Here is a 17833-nt window from a genome sequence, read left to right on the forward strand (position 1 = left end):
CTGCGTGAACATAAGCGAGTTTCTTAACCTCAGTTGTCAATTGTAAAATGAAGATTTTAACGCCCATCTATAGTTGTGTTTGAAAGAGTGAAGTGAAGTCAATGTGCAACACCCAGCACAGCGGCTTAACAAAAAATTATAGTAAGTGCCATGAAACCATCACCATGGATTCAGAAATACACTATACAAAACGTGAGTTTGTTTGTTGACAATCAAAAAAGAAAAAAAGAAAAACAAGGTTTTGCTTGGCATTGCATTATCCTCGCATGAGACACATCACTCATCGCTAAGCTCCATAAAACAGGATGTGTCTATTGCTTCTTATGAAACCATCTTTGAAGTTAGTGCACCACCAGACACCCCAGAAACAGTTTAAGCTGTATTTGAGTTTGTTGAGTGATTTTAGACACATGCCCTGGGCGGAGCAGTGCGTGCCTCCAAGACACAGCTTAGAAGTGATCCACTCACCACTTTAGAAATGCATGTGGTTATTTTTGGTCAATCCTAATATTTGCTCCAAGGAGCATCTCGTTTCCTTTAATTAGTATCCTGAGTAATGCCTTCTGTTCTGCTCGCCTGTCCTGTAACAGACATGGCTGTGACGAGTGAGAGGGCAATTCATTCAGACTGGCTTGTGTTAGAACTGGCTGCTGGAAACAATGCCAGCAACTTTATTTTTGGTCTATTAGTAAAATGACAGCACTAATTCATTTCACAGCGGAACCAAACAGCTGTCAGATGGCAGTGAGCATAATCGTGCACACATTAGAATTTAGATATGCTGAGTAGGATTTTTCCACTGGCACCGCATTCTACTGTAATGTGCTCCAAAGTCCCCCCAAATGGTGCAAGTGGCTCTCCTGGTGCATTTGCCCTCAGATAGTGCAATTCAAACAAAACAAACCCTTTGCAATTGGGCTTCCAGTTGTGAATTCAACACACTCAAAATGACAGAATTTAGGGAAAGAGAGATGACAATTAGATGATTCATGAAACTCAACTTTTACTTCCCCAACCTCATAAAAATGATACCCCAAGAGCCACAAATTTCAAATTTCTGATAAATCTACTCATCATCCTCTGGGCATTAATTAGATGGGAACAAGGAATTTGACTAGTTGATATTACTTTTCATTCTAAGAAGTTTGAGGAGCACAGAGTCCTGCCTTCTGTAGGCATATGAGCTTCTGAGACAGATAAGACACCCACACCAAGGAAAGTGACCGGAGGCTGGGACTGGCCACACAACAGGAAGCATGGGCACTCCTCCTGGCCATGCCTTACACAAAAACTACACAAAGAAAACTTTCAACAAGCTTGTGATGTCCAAATGATACCAGAGAATGTATTGTTTGCCAACAAAGAAAAAAATAATTTACTAGAACTCCTGAGTCATCTGGTGTTTGATGAAGGTGACTAACAAAGTTGTCTTGTCAGTTACAGCAAAACTATTAAAATGTCCACTGTAAATACAGCTCGTATTGAGGGCCATTTACTTTCTCTATTGTGCATTGAGAAAGTGGGTTAAATAACAAGACCAAGCTGACTTAAAAGGGAAGAGTATCTTGTTTCCTAAACGAGGAAAATGTTCTAGCTTTAGGGTTGGGATTCCACACCATAGCTACGGGTCCCCTGTCTTGGTAAATAAAGATTTATTGAAACACGGCCAAGGTCACTCAAGTATTGTCTATGGCGCTTTCATACTGTAGCAGCAGAGTTGGGTAGTTACCACAGACACCAGATGAGCTGCAAAGCCAAAAGAGTAACTCTGGCCCTTTACCAAAGAAGTTTGCCAGTCCTCTTTAGAGTGATCACCCCTGAATTCCAGCTCTTCTATGCCACAGGATGTCAATGGAATGTTTAAAAAATGACCTTAACTTTTGGAGTAATTTCATAGGAATAAAATCACTGCTATAATATATAAGGGATGAAATGAAAACATATACAATAACTTTTTTAAAACTCAATTTTTACTATGACTCTTGTTTAACAGGCTAGAAGGCAACTTGTGTTTAGGTTGCTGCAAATTCAAACAATTGAATTAAATGTGATTAAATCAAAAGTATGTTGTAAAACGTAATTTTGTATATAATAAATTTCATTGTACTCTGTTGTATTTTTACAGTGTTTAAATTCAGAGTACAGATATCTTGTGCTAATTTCATATAGTAATGTATAAATGAAATGATACCTCACTTAAATTTCTAGGAATTTCAGTGTTAAATATATTGGAATTCATTGTAAATACAAGTTAATTAGTGCCTTTGTCTTTGTGAACTTCATACAAATTTAAATTTGTTATCACGATATTCATAAATAGCTGTAGTTTTTCCATGATTCATGCATGTAAGCATTCCTTTAAAAACAGTCAAGTAAATACAGAAATTTTGATACACATGTCAGTATTGTGGCATATGAGAAGGTTTTGAACAAGTGTGAAAGTCTTAAAAAATGAAAAATCAGATGTGGAATGTTGAAAGCTCATATTTATGAGTTAAGATGGATAACACATCCAAAGCTGAAACGTGTTCAGCATCTTATTCCTGCACAAAATCTCCCATTTGTTATCCTCCTACACCCGGCAAAAATCACAGGAGAAAACTGCAAGTCCCCACACACCAGCTGTCCACTTACTCACCCTCCTCCCCTCCCCAAATGTAGCTTTCCATTCCATTATTCTAATATTTAAAAGCATGCTTCACAAAAAGTTTATGCCTGAATGGAAAAACAAAATGGAAACTTCGAGTACACATGTGATTTAAATGACTACCAAAGCTTAGTCAGATGTATACAAATCAGTGTTGCAAGTTGACAGGCCCCAGGCCATTCCTCCTTCCTTATTGGTGGTGTTTCTCTCTCCTCAGAGGATATGAAAGAATATAAGGTTATATTATGAAAGAACCAGTGTCAAAAACGTCTTCAAGTAAGCTACTTAAAACAAACTGGGAAGCTGTCTGGAAAGGGCGTATCATCCTCTACTGTCAAAAAAGAGGCATTTTACCCTATGAAAGGATTCTCCATTGATCAGGTTTTAAAGAAAAGAATTGGGAGAATACAAATAACTGCATGAATTATTGACTGTTTTTAATAGCTTAATTTTACTTCTTTATCTCAAGCTTCTAAACAATTCTTGGACATAAAGATTTTCCTATTTAGATTTATATTACTCTGATTTGCACCAATGAATGAAAAGTGAAGGAAGCAATTAAGAAATGTCTGATAATGGAAAATGTACTCTATATGACACCATTTCAAGTTGATCAATTAAATCAATAGTTCATTTTCTTGAAACCAAGAATAAGCCCATAGTTGACCAGCTCTCAGAATATGAACCTTGTAGAGGTCAACAGAGTATCTATTGTGCAGGTGAGGCCATCAGCTGCCATTTTTCTGGCTCCATTTAAAGAAAAAAAATAGCACAATAAAGGGGGAAACCTTTTAGACTAACATATCCTTTGAAAAATATACTTACGTTTAGAAACACAGATCCTTGTTTGATAGTAAACCATCAACTTTAGGTAGCAAGAACATCAGAAATCATAAATTTACATGTTGCATTCAAATTCAGAAAGGGAAATGAACTGTGAATTCTTTGCCGACTGATTTAAGAACTCTGAAGACAAAACAAATATCTGTATCACTTTGTCATTTGGGTGCACATTCGGCATTGAATTTATTGGATAGCAGACTGTGAAGCCTTTTTTAAAGTTTAGCATCTGCATATGGCTATAAATTATATTTAATGTACTATACCTGTATTTTACAAAATGACCTTCAAATGGGAGATTTTTAAAAAATTATCTACAAAATGGAAATGAATTTGATTGATGAAATTCGAATGCATTTTTACCTTAACTTACATACTTCCTACTTATTTCCAGTGTTCTCGGCTTTGTGTTAAGTCAATATATGTGTTTTTTCTTCTCTTAATCCAAATCTATGTCATTCTCTCACATCTTCTCCTCGAATTGCCTCAGACTAACAAAAGATAATTTACCCTTTCTCAGTGATTTTCACCCCATATTCTTGTCATTTTAGAATAAAAACAAATCAACAACAAAAAACAGCAAGAATGCCTATCTACCTAAGTTGATATTTGAGAACAATAAAAATGTAACCCTAACCAAAATATGTAACTAGGCAGCTCATTGTTAATTCAGAACATGCCACTCAACACTTCAGCAGGGATGAATTTGTTCTGTGTACTCTGACTTAGAAGAGTATAGATTCATCATTATTTGACTTTTTTTCTTTTTTTTTTTTTTTTTTTTAACACATAAACCAGATAAAGAGACAAAGCACAGAGAAGGAGAAGGTGGACACAGGCTTCCCAAGATGGCAAAGGAACATTAGCACAGGGCATAACTGTTCCAGGAGAATGTAATATCATACATAATTTGGAAGAAATAACAATACCGTACTTTTAGTTTGTTTGTCTTTGAGACAGAGTCTCACTCTGTTGCCCAGGCTGGAGTGTAATGGTGCAATCTTGGCTCACTGCAACCTCCGCCTCCTGGGTTCAAATGATTCTCCTGCCTCAGCTTCCCAAGTAGCTGGGATTACAGGCACCCGCCACTACGCCCAGCAAATTTTTGTATTTTTAGTAGAGATGGGATTTCACCATGTTGGCCAAGATGGTATCAAACTCTTGACCTTGTGATCCACACCTGCCGTGGCCTCCCAAAGTGCTGGGATTACAGCCATGAGCCACCGTACCCGGTCCCATACTTTATAATCTTTGAAGCCATCTTCTAGGCTAATCTAGGCCAAATGGAAGGAGAAATTAAAAGTTTTCTATACCAGATACTGAACCAAACAGTTTAGGTAACTAATTCTGTAAGCCTCATGCCAACTCTCTAAGGTAGGTACCATTTATTTTTCATTTCACAAGGGAAAACAAATTGAGGTAATGAGCGCTTAGTCACCAGCACAATGGTCACACTCATAGTGACTGGGAAACTGCATGGAACCCACACCTCAGAATTCATGTGCTTATCCACATGTAAATATTTAAATTAATTTTCCCTAACACTTTGCATTTCTAGCGTCCAGATAGTATATAGCCAATATTTGATGGTGTTTAAATAGAAAGTCATCTGATTTCTAGTTACTGTATAAGAGAGACAGAAAGAGACTATTAGACATCATCCACTCTCATTTTTGCTTATTGAAGTTCATTTTAAATAATGACCAATTTTTGTTTTTCATTTATCTGAAATTATGTATTACCAAATGTAATGTATATGCATGTAAACATGGAGAAATTTGCCCCTGACACAAGAGTATACTGGAAAAAAATTAATAAAAAAATCTTGGGAGAGAAGTATGTACAGAAGATAAAATTATGATTAAGATGAAAAATATTAAGAAATGAAAGTATAACAACTCATGAGTTGAGACTCCCCTCTGCAATGGTTTGAATATGGTTTGTCTCCACCAAAACATGTTGAAATTTAACTGTCAGTGTAATAAGTTTGGAAGGAGGAGGGCTTAGAGGTTATAAGTTCAATAAGATCAATGAATGTCTTTCTCTTCAGACTAGATTTGTTCTAGTGGGACTAGGTTAGTTATTGAAACAGTGGATTGTTATACAGTGAGGTTGCCCCTGTGTCTTACCTCTTTTGCATTCATGCTTCCCGTTTTGCTGGTCCACCATGTGATACCACTCCACCCGTTTATGAGGAAACCCAAGGCCCCCTCCACGTGTGGCCACCTGATCTTCAATCTCCCAACCTCCATAACCATGAGATACATCTCTTTCCTTTATAAATTACCCAGTCTCAGGTAACACAGCAACATAAAATGAACTAGGAAACCCATCAAGTACAAATATTAATTAATACATATTTTGTTACTGAAAATTGATTATGAAATGGGCTCTATGGAGTTAACTTGCCCTTTACTATATTCCTTTTAGACAAGTAACTATTTCTGTGAGTGGATTTCTATCAAGAGCACCTTGATTTCTTACATTAAAAAAAAATCAGCCACAGTGCTGGTCTTAGAATTCATTAACCATTTGAAAAAATACACAGCAAAGGACTTTTAATTACTTGGTTCTATTTTTCATTCAAATTCCAATTAAGAGCCAGAGATCCACTTAACAATATTCATTCCCACATTATCATCAGACATTTCTTAACTCTATAGTATTCATTAATTAATTTTTTCTGTGCTCATTGCAATGAGCTAAATAACAGTTATACGGAGAAAAATACAGCAATCCTTCCACCTGCTCATTCCATTCTTCTCAAACCTAATTTATTTTCACAATTCACATTTTCTCCTACACGTTTCTGAATGCTCACGAAAGCATATATATATGTGTGCTATGTATTTGTACATATAGACGTTCACATACCTATCCAAGTACTTTATCTTTTCACCAAAATGGAATCACGTGGCATATGCATTCACATAGCTATGCAAATACTTTTATTTATATTTTTACCAAAATGGAATTATGTTGCATTTTTTTTCACTTTAATGTACCATGCACATCTTCTGAGGTCAATACACATAGGACTAAAAGGAATTATTTTTAATAGTACTAGAACTTACGATTTTTGATGAAAAGTACACAGCAACATAGCTAAGGGTGTGTGTGTGTGTGTGTGTGTGTGTGTAGCCAGGGCAAATGATTAGCTAAATATCTCAATGTGCCTCTGATATAGTTCAGATATTTCTCAACGTGCAAGAGTGCGTGCGTGTGTGTGCATGTGTGTTTAGCCAGGGCAAATGATTAGCTAAATATCTCAATGTGCCTCTGATATAGTTCGGATATCTGTCAACGTGCAAACCTCATGTTAAATTGTAACCCCCAGTATTGGAGGTAGGGCCTGGTAGGAGGTGACTAGATCATGGTGGGGCAGATTTCTCATGAATAGTTTACCACCATCCTCTCGGTTGCTCTCCTGGACACAGCGCAAAAGATTCACCAAAATTGAACTGAAAAGTGTGTGGCACCTCTCACTCCTCCCCTTGCTTCCGCATTTGCCATGTGTTGCGCTGGCTCCTCCTTTGCCTTCTACCATGATTGGAAGCTTCCCGAGGCCTCAACAGAAGCCGGGCAGATGCCAGTACCACGGTTCCTGTCCAGCCTGCAGAACTGTGAACCAATTACACCTATTTTATCGGAAAATTACCCAGTCTCCGGTATTTCTTTATACTAATACAAGAATGGACTAATACAGCCTCACAAGTGGAATTTCTCTTAATGAAGTTGCAATGGTCTATTCCAACGGAATCAGAAACTAGATTTTCTGATGCTAAGATTTTCAGGGTTAAATGTATATTAAGTTCACGTAACCAACATATAAAGACATAGTGAAAAGTTAATAAATTACAGCTTATAGGAATTAGACTACTTACATTGATACCTATACTGATATGACAGTTTTATTATTTTTATTTAACTCACTCTAGGCCTGTATGTGAAACCAAATTGTAATGGAAGAATGCCTGCTCAAACAAGGAATTCAGAACAAGAAAAAGAAAGACATAAGATAACTGACAACAATCAGATAAAAGAAAAGTTGACGCCTCAGGTTAACAGAACTTGTATCATCAATGGACAGAAGCCATCTTTATCTTTTCAGTAGTTATGAGATTTTTGACAACTTGAAGTCTATACAATGTTCTTTCCAGAAAAATAGACTTACAAAATTACGCATATAATTTCACAGCTTCATGGAAAGAGATATTTCATGGCCCTCAAATTAAGAAAGATGGATATATAGAATATGGACAGTCTCACAGTGGACCAGAATAATCAGAGTTAACACCTTAAATTCACAAACATCCCAGGGAGGGTTGCTCAGTTGACTGCAACCATCAGGGTGCAACTGTGAGCTGGCTAAGCTTTCCTTTCCTTGAGGCTGATCCTCAATGACACAGCTTCTCCTTGGGCTCTGTGCTTTTAACTACGCTCGTGGGGCTGCCCAAACCAATTCTATCATTCATTCTTTTATCCGACACATTAGAAGTCACAGGTAGCACATAAGCCTCGCTAGATTAGCTAAATTTGTTTCTTTAGGGCAGTTCAGCGTCTCTCTTCTAATGACTTGATTGTCTTAAAGCTGTACTTTCAGAAGGCAATTATATCTCTGCTATATCCCTACTTTTAGAAAATGTTAGTGTTCATGTACTGACAGCACTAATTCTTTTAAAAAATTATTTTATCATAGCAAGAACGCTTATTATGAGATCTACCCTTATAACGAATATTCAGTTGCACAAGACAGCACTGTTGACTATACACGCAATGGTGTACCGCGGATCCCAAGAACTTACCCAGTGAGTATTTTCCAATGTCATTTAACATTGATTAGGGGTTCTAATACAGCTAGTGTTCAAAACCCCTGCAAATGGAGGACAAACGAGAGATTTCGGTAGCTTCTGGCAACTAAGCCTAGAGATAACTAAGGTGAGGACCCTACTTCTACTTGTTATGAAATGAGGAAGGAATGTGTTTACAGGAAGGATACCTGGGTTTACCAGTCTAAGTTACCTAATTAGCCCAGAGGAAAGTAATTATTGAAATTTTGCATTTGTTTCAAGCTCTATAATTGTTATAAATCTACAACAATGTTACACTATGGGCTAATGGAGAGCCAGCTGCTCTTCTTGTGCTAGCACGTTCTTGAAAAGGAAACATTTCTATCCTGCCAGGTGCATCATGCATGCTCCATGCTTTAATTCAGGTGGAGTTTGGGTTATCACTTCAAGGGAGAAATAAATCAGTGCTGACATTCTAAATAAAGCTTTGAGCTTGAAGAGTAATAATCTAGCTGCTCTTTCTAAATCCAGATCCACAGGTGTTAAAGAAAATCATGCTTGAGGGATGTGTCAGAGGGAAATGCCACACATATTCAGCCAACAGAGTGACACCCTGGTAAGAGGAAGCCCCGCCCATCCTAAATCACTTCCTGAAACCCGAAGAAAAGGTCTCTCTAGCAGCCCAGATTCACTTTTCTCTGGTGAAAATTCAAGGACTGTATAGAACTGTAGGCCATTTTCTTTCATAAAATAAATGTTCAATGGATTAATAAATACTGATCCCTCATTTTCTGTTTGTGAGGATTAAATTTCATATCCTATACTGAGCAATATTTTTAAGAGGATCTGCTTATGCATAGTTTATAAGTAATAAACTACGATCCATACTATAGATCATATAATCTCTTTATCTTTAAATCAATTCAGTGATTTTTTTTAAACTTCTGCATGCGTGGGTGTGTTCACTAGAAAGAAAATCAAATTCAAATTTTTCAATACCAATACTTACTGGCAGTTTTTCTTTCAGGTTTTGAGGAAATATGAACTACTAGAAAAAGTTAAGTTGTGGTTGAGTTCAGATTTTTATCCAAAAATATTTTTGAGTATGTATCATGTGCCAAGTGTCAAGGATTCAAATTTTCCTTAGAGTTAGTTATTGCCCTCAAGGGTACAAAGAGTAATGGCCAGAGAGTAGGCATATGAGGTGCCATCTACTGGCTTCCATTAAGTGCTCTGGGAATTCAGAATTCATTTAATCCATGTTCTGTCTTCTCCCTGCATTTATTTTGGGACAATATAACTATCACTTAAAAGCCAAAATGTGATAAATTGTCACATAGAAGCATAGGCAAGCAAAAATGCTATCCTTCGTTTCATAGTCCAGTGAAAGTAATTCAGCTTTTTTTGCAAAGGATCTCACGGAGTAAGTTTTCTATTGCAAGGATGAAATAACGTAAACTCAATTTTCTACCCTTCAGATAGGGCAGAAAGGCTCAGCTCCAGGCTCTCTGAGCTCCAGAGAACCCAGGCTCAGGATCATCCGCCTCCGCTCCCCACTGAACTCAGCCTCCATCAACTCCGCCTCACTTCTGCACCCCCTCCTCCTGTAAACCACATTGCTAAGCATTCTCAAAGACAGGCATCTGTTTTTCTCTATGCTTCTGCAGGGATTCCTCCTTACTCAGGAAGATCCTTCTGTTGTCTCTCTTCCTTGAGACCTTCTATTCCGGGTTTGACACAAAGTAGGCATTTAGCGCACGTGCTTTAATAACACGCTCTTCAGGTCGTGGCCTGAGCCCACTCTGTGATGGCCTCTACATGGCCCACGTAGACCTGCTCTTTCCCTTGCTCTTCCGCCCTGTTTTATAAAGCCGGAATGACTATTGAGTCACACCAATTACACCAGTGTTCTGTTTGATTGTTTCATTCTCCTTCACTAGTCACTGACAATAAGCAGTATTCATTTCATCTTTGTATTCCTGTAACTTAACTCAGTATTGTGTCTCTGGTAGAGGCCCCGTGAATGCTGATTAAATAAATGAGAGAAGAAATGAATGAGCAAATCTGTGTATCCACTTACACTTGTGCACGTATAAGTATGGATAGCAATGTGTATGAGCACACGTGTTTACATGTATGTGCATTTTTGAGTATGTATTTGTGTATGTGTGTATACGTAAATAAACGTAATATATACAAGAGGAAACAGTGAGTGTATAAGGATTGCAACTTCTGTAGATGTACAGACATGTGGATAATTTCTGCTTTCATTCCCTAGCAGCCATGGGATCTCGGGAAACTAAAGTACTGCAGTTAACTACTTCACTTTCTCTACGTGATAATAATAGATCACCTTATTTCACTTAGACAATTTCCGTGAAGATTTCCTAAGAAAAGACATGAATAAAGTCTTTGCCAATTGTTATGAAAAATTGTGTCCTATCTGTACAATTGCCTTACACTATGGAGAAAAGTTCTATACAAAGCAAGTAGTGATTCTAGTTAATAAATACCGGAGTCACTGTTTTGATTCAGAGCTGCTGCTTTCTATCCAAAGAAAGGTTGGATTATGTACAAAACTTCTATTTTCCGAAAGCTACTGGATCATAAAGAATACAATTAACTTCCGAAAAACCTTGTTTTACTTATAAAATGAACTAAAAAGTCAACCTAAATTATTGCATATAATTCATAAAAGCTAGATTTTAAAAATATAACCAATATTTAAATTATTGAAGTCCATGTATGATTTCCCAAATATTTTAGAAAACATTTGAAATTATATTCATAATAAACACGTGCATTAAAATTGATATTTAGACTTTAGAACCAAAATAATGAACATTTTGAGTCTAAGAGTTTTGATAATAGATGCACGCATTTCCAACATTTAGCTTACGTTTTTACTAATAAGGGCAACTATTATAAAATAGAAGAATTCCTTTTTAAAATCTAAAGAGAAAAATATATAAAGTACATCAGAGAGAGAGGCTCTTTGGGGAACAATTTTTAGATGACCGTGTATCACCCAGTCCGTATATTTTCTTCAATGTCCTCAAGTCTAATATGTGTCAGCCTTTGTCTCATGTCAATTTTCTGACTTCCTAGATGTTTTTCTTAAAACATAGGTCAGCTTGATGACAAAGTAATATTTTTTAATACTTGAGATTTTGATAAAAGAAGAAACATTACACAAATAAAATTTATAGACATAGTACTTCAAAACTGGGCATATCTAGGAATTTTAATAGTAATCTTATTATAAACTATGTGTAATCCTAATAGTTTCTGTTATTAATTTGTCAAAGACAGCTATGCAACTATGTTGGTTCACAATTAAGACTAATGTCCAAGTATAGAACTAGCAAGTAAAATCTTACAACACTGAATTAAGTTACTACCTTCAATTTTATTCTATATTTAGCAGTTAAAATGTGTTAATTTGAATATATACACTTAATTGCTGAGACTTGCTGAGGTCTATATTCAGAAAGTCAAATACTGTAAATAATCAATGTTAGTATAAAATTTATCAGTGTTCCCACTGGATTTCCAGAGTTAAATTCAATGACTGAACACGTTGATTACACTATTTTAATTTGTTTCTATTCTCATTATGTAGCTTAATAGTTCCATGTGTGAATAATAGTTTATGTAAATAAAGCCTATTCCAAAGTACTGCCAGACAACAGTTGAGTTTGGTGTCCGGATTATGTTTATTCCCAAGGTTATCATGTTTACATAGATCTTAGAACTTTGGAAGATTCTTCTCCTTTCAAGCCAATACATTTCAATTAAAATTTTATGCAGCAGTCTGTTAATACTACCACAATTCCATGTTTTAGTTAAATAAAAAAACATGAATTTATTATAATATGAAAGTTCATTTTATATCTAAATCCAGTTGCCTTTATACGTCTTGGATTATACATCAGTATTTTATTCTATTATTTGACTCATACCAATTACTTGGTGGGTCAAATAACAGGATCCGTGGGCAGTCTCTCCAAAATAAAAACTAATGGGAAAAGAGGAAATCTGAGGTATCAGAAAGAGAATTTTGTGACTCTAAATCAACTTGAAACATTTTTCTAATTATTATCATTAATTCTACTTCATATACATATATATACATGTACAAATTGGTGTATTTGCTTATTTTATGCACTCTTAATAAATTCTGACCTTTTCCCATGACATTTCCTTGGAAAGTAATAGTTGTCTAAAGTTTATGTGTAAAGTATTTGGTACTTGCAATAAATATTGCTATAAAAGCTCTCTTCTACTCTAGATTATCTTACCTTACTCTTCCACTTAAGACTATAATTGATAATTTTTCTCCAAATAACGCACACTCATTTTTGCAGGAGACCTGGAAGCTAACTGATAAATAGATTTAAACACACACATACTAAATACTAGATACAATTTTGGTTTAGCCAACAAAGCACCTTTTTGACAGGTTTTTTTCTTTTAAATAGAGGTTTGTCTTCACTTGTCAACATCAGACTATAATATCACCATTTCAAATCGAAATACCACAAAATCATTTTCTACATAGCCACATTAAAAAATAAATCCAAGTTACTCAACTTATGGCCCTATTCCATTTTCTAGAAAGTTTTTCAGTTGATCTTTTGGAGTAACAAAGAAATATTTTTCCAACATAGACAATCTTGCCCTATTTTCTTCATTATACCATCATGACCACCAGTAAACCCAGAAATAGCCCAGAAATATTTGATAGAATTATTCATATAGTGATTTCTCAACAGCGATGGAGTTTTCACAACATTAATTTTGGGAATCTAACAAGACCACCTTTTCAGCTATCAACTTCATCAGGAGGGGAGAAAAAAATGCCAAGTTTTCTAAAATGTGGAAGCATTATCTATTTTCTGAACAAATATTGTATGTTAACAGGACAAAATATGCCTGGCATATAGCTGGTATGGATTGCTTTAGAGATGCTTTTGTAATATTCTGCAAAAAATGAAATGATGTGAATTTAGAGTTTATATGAAGTGGTACATTGATATCATCAATGATACAATCAAAACTGAAAGCTAATAACATCCACTGATCTTCAATTAGCCTGCTGCTTTCCAAAGATTAACTTATTCCTTGATAGTAACGTACTTAAAGGTGATAGACCCTTTCCAGCCACTGACGCTGGCTTATGCACAAATGCGGTGGCATGAAAGACATTAGAGGCAGAATCGCAGACCATTCTCAGCATTATTCCACACGTAACTTTAAGCAAAAGGATAAGTCGGTCCATTCCTATGTCTCTGCAAAGAGAACCTTCTACACTGTAATTTTCTGCTAATTTCACTACAGCCACCCATTTGCACAAACCACGTGTATATTTTAACTTCCCACAAAATACGATTTTTGCCTAAATGCAGAGTATTCCCAGTAAGAATATATAATTTGTGACTTAGTAGCAAATGACATCCCAAGTAAACAGTGTGTGTTGTAAATAGGAATTGGTTTACACCCCTAACGATAGATTGCTTTTTAAATTTACAGACTCCAGAGTTTCTGTTACAGACAGTAGCTCTTGTATTACGTGTAAAAGGCAATTTAAAATCTCCATCCAAAACAAAAGTAGACACACATCGGCCTTTAAAGTATTAACTAGTTCAATTTCTTAAAACCTAATACTTGAAATGATAATTTCCTTTTCCAAAGTTCTATCTCTGCATTTAAAAAAAATTTCTGCCAAAAGCCGTTTTAATAATGATAGCAATACCTCAAAGGTATCTAGGCACAAAATCTGAAGACATGAAAACAAATAAGTCTCTATGCCTTGCATGATCAAACAACAGTAAAAGCAAATTAATTTTCTCTCTTAAAAATTTCAGCTTTGACAACAAAAGTTCATTTAATGAAATTTCCTTTACTCAAGCACTATCAGTATAATTGTCCAACCAAAAATTTAATGAAACTCTTCTGCATTAAAAATGAACTCTTTACCACGTAAGAGGGCTATTAGTTTATAGTCAAATTTCTCAAAACTTATTCGCTACAAATTAACCAAAACAAAACCCCAAGAAGAAAAGTTCTAGTGATAAGAAGAAAATTGTGAACACGTTTTGGGCTGGAAAGTTTGGCGATTATAACAGTGTTACCAAATGCCATTGCATTACACAGAAGCCAAATGTCTACACCACGGAACGACCTGCGACATAGCAGCCTAGTTTGTCATTATTAATCCAGTGTAGCATGTATTAGATCATTTGGACAGTGAATGCATGTGCAAAACACAACCAATCTCCTACCTTCATATAATGCTTTGAAACCTTGGGCACTCACAGCGAAGTCTGTCGTGAACCACAGAGTGAGGATAGATCCTGTACTCACTATAGAGGAGGGCAGCTGAAATCCCGATAATCTAAATTTAAAAGACAAGACACAAAGAGAGTTAAAAGCATGAATTTGTCAAAAAAAGCTTATTTGATGAAGTCACTGAATAACTTGAACAGTGGTATATTCACTTGAAATATGGCATTAAACACTTAGATAATCCATACACATAGCTTTGGTTGTTAAGTATTTGAAATTAAACATTTTCAAGTATGAGAATATGTTTATTTAAATAACTTGAGAGAATTTCTTCTTGAAAATACTTACTTATATAATATGCCATTGTCTTAAATGCTCCTCGTTTTTGGATGGCAATTATCTACTGCCAACTTTTTTTTTTATTTGAATTTTTAAGTTATAGGGTACATGTGCAATATGTGCAGGTTTATTAGGTAGGTGAAGGTGCGTCATGGTGGTTTGCTGCACCTCTCAACCCATCACGTCGGTATGAAGCCCAGCATGCATTATCTATTTTTCCTAATTCACTATTTTTAATTTTTTTCTAATAAAAAATATGACAGGTAAAGCATGTGAATGTGTGTATAAACATTTGTGCACTCAAACATGAAAGTATTGCAAAACCACTGAGTTGGTCGTGAAACAATCTGTGTTTCAGTTGGATTCCAAGCTGTGCTCTTAGGAAAAGTGAGTGAGATGGTCAGGATAGCAAAGGCCCCGTGCAATAGGCTGTGAGCCGTCTAGAGGGCAAACCAATGCTGACACAGCTCTGTGATCCACAATAGGACTCCCAACATAAGAATGCTGAGAATACCCACATTCTGGTAAGTAGCTTATTTTTTATGTTATAAAATCCACAAACTCCTGTGCTGTGAAGCCTGGTCTGTCCTCTTTCACCCTCCTAGGAGCCCTCCTCCCTCCCTGTCTTTTGGTTTATCACCTTTCTTATCTGGTACAATTCACGGGGATCTTCAACTCTCAAATTGTATTCATCTTTGTAAACTGCAGTATCTGCTGTCTGCTTTTATTTTTTAATTCAGTCCCCTTAAAGAGACTCATTTGTTCATTTTTTCCCATTGGATGCCAATCCAAACAACTTTCAGACAGTGCATTCACATGAAGGAGTAAATGACTGATGAATGGAAAAAGAAACCATTGTCATACCAGAAGACACTGCTTTGTACTTTATGTGTTAGCGAACGCAATACAGAAGACAAGTCAGTGAAGCAAACGTTGCTTTAAGAAAGGAAAAACAAAAAACAAAAAACAGTGAGTTTAAATTCTCCTGTGACTGAAGACCAGCAAGAATACAGAACTCATCAACCCTATATAACAGTATTTAATCAATATTTATAGTACACTTTACCCAGCAAGAACAGAGTACACATTTCTTTCAGGTGCCCACAGAACATATACCAAGATAAACCATATTCGAGGCCATAAAACAAACCTCAAACTATATAAAATAACTGAAATCATATAGCGTGTGTTCTCTGACCACACAGTGGAATCAAATTAGAAATCAGTAAGATAAAAATGACAGAAAAATATCTAATTACTTGGAAAATAAACAACACACTTCTAAATAATCCAGGGGCCAAAGAGAAAGTCTCAAGGAAAATAAAAATACAGATAAACTGAATGAAAATATAAAATACAACATATTAAACTTTGTAAGACTCAGCTAAGCAGTGCTGAGAAGGTAATTAGTCGCACTAAAAACACAGCTTAGAAAAACTCCCAAATCCCTAATCCAAATTCTTATTGCAAGAACTATAAAAGAAAAAAACAAAAAAAACTAAAGCAAACAGAAAGCAAAAAACAAGAAAAGTACAGAAATCAATAAAATTGAAAGAAAAAAGAACAAATAATGAAAGAGCCAGTTCTTTGGGAAAATAAAATTGAAAAAGACTGACTAAATAATTGGGAGTTTCAGAAGGTACAAAGAGTCACTGTCATTAAACATCAAATATTACTATGAACTCAGAATTCATCATAAAGATAATAAAAGTTACTACAGAAACTACATATGTAAAATTGGCAACTAAGACAATATGGGTCACTAACTCAAACAAATGAACTATTACAACTAACCAATGAAAAAATACATAATATGAATTATCCTATAGCTATTAAAACTTTCCCCAAATTTCCAGTTCCAAATGTTCCCACTGGAGAATTCTACATTTAAATAATTAACACCAGTCGTACACACTTTAAAGAATTAACACTAATTCTACACAGTCTCTTCCAGAAAGTGTAAGTGGATAGAATGCTTTTGTAGTAATTTTGTGGCATTGACACTACCCTTTCCCTTATGGGCTGAATTATGCTCCTCCCACCAATTCATATACTGAAGCCCCAACCCCCAACATAACTAGATTTGGAAATGGGGCTTTACAGAGGTAATTATAGTTAAATGATGTCAAATAATTCGGACTCTGATCCCATAGGGTAAGCATACGGTAAAAATAAGAAAAGAGAAGGATTCCTTTCTCCCTGGACACATACTGAGAAAAGACCATGTGAGCATGGAACAGGAAGGATGCTGTCTACAAGTCAGGAAGAGAGCCCTCACCAGGAACTGACTATTCTGGACCCTGATCTCAGACTTTCAGACTCCAGAACTGTGAAAAAATAAACCTGTATTTCTTAATCCCTGGAACTTATAGTAGTTTGTTATGGCAGCCTAAAGAGACTAAGACACTCTAATATCAAAACCAGATAAACACAGAAAAAAGAAAAATAAAATAATGTCTCTCATGCATATAGATGCAAAAATCCTTAACCAAGTAAGAGAAAATAGAAATAGGCAAGATACGAATTATACACGATGATCAAATGGTGTTTATTAGAGGAATGTTAGAAAGGTCCAATCTTTGAAAATTAATCCATATAATCTGCAATATTAATGGGCTAACAAAGTAAAATCACAAGATCATAGTAATCTATGTAGAAAAAAACATTTGACAATAATAATCATTGAACATGAGAAAAGTTCTCAGTAACATATGATTGGAAGGAATCTTCTCCAACTTGACAAAGAATATCTCTACAAAAATAAAAAAAATTTAAAAAAGCCTAAAGATAACATTTTGCTTAGTGGTTGAAGACTGAATGCTTCTGCCTAAGACTGGAAACAAGTCAAGAAATTTGAACAAGTCAAGAATGCTTTGAACATTCTTATTCAATATCGTGCTGGAATATCCTGCAAATACAATAATACAAG

General features: G+C 35.5%; 1 protein-coding gene across 3 annotated transcripts in view; it reads right to left on the reverse strand.

Annotated features, from left to right (window-relative positions):
* The window catches only part of CSMD1 (CUB and Sushi multiple domains 1), a 2059554-nt gene that overhangs the window by 1470031 nt on the left and 571690 nt on the right, over nucleotides 1-17833 (reverse strand). For all 3 annotated transcript variants that reach the window (XM_011534752.3, NM_033225.6, XM_017013731.2), the window contains exon 3: nucleotides 14562-14674. In XM_011534752.3, the coding sequence (XP_011533054.1) occupies nucleotides 14562-14674 (113 nt within the window). The remainder of the gene's footprint in view (nucleotides 1-14561; nucleotides 14675-17833) is intronic.

The sequence above is a fragment of the Homo sapiens genome, chromosome 8 (assembly GCF_000001405.40).
Source record: "Homo sapiens chromosome 8, GRCh38.p14 Primary Assembly".
Taxonomy (NCBI): Eukaryota; Metazoa; Chordata; class Mammalia; order Primates; family Hominidae; genus Homo; species Homo sapiens.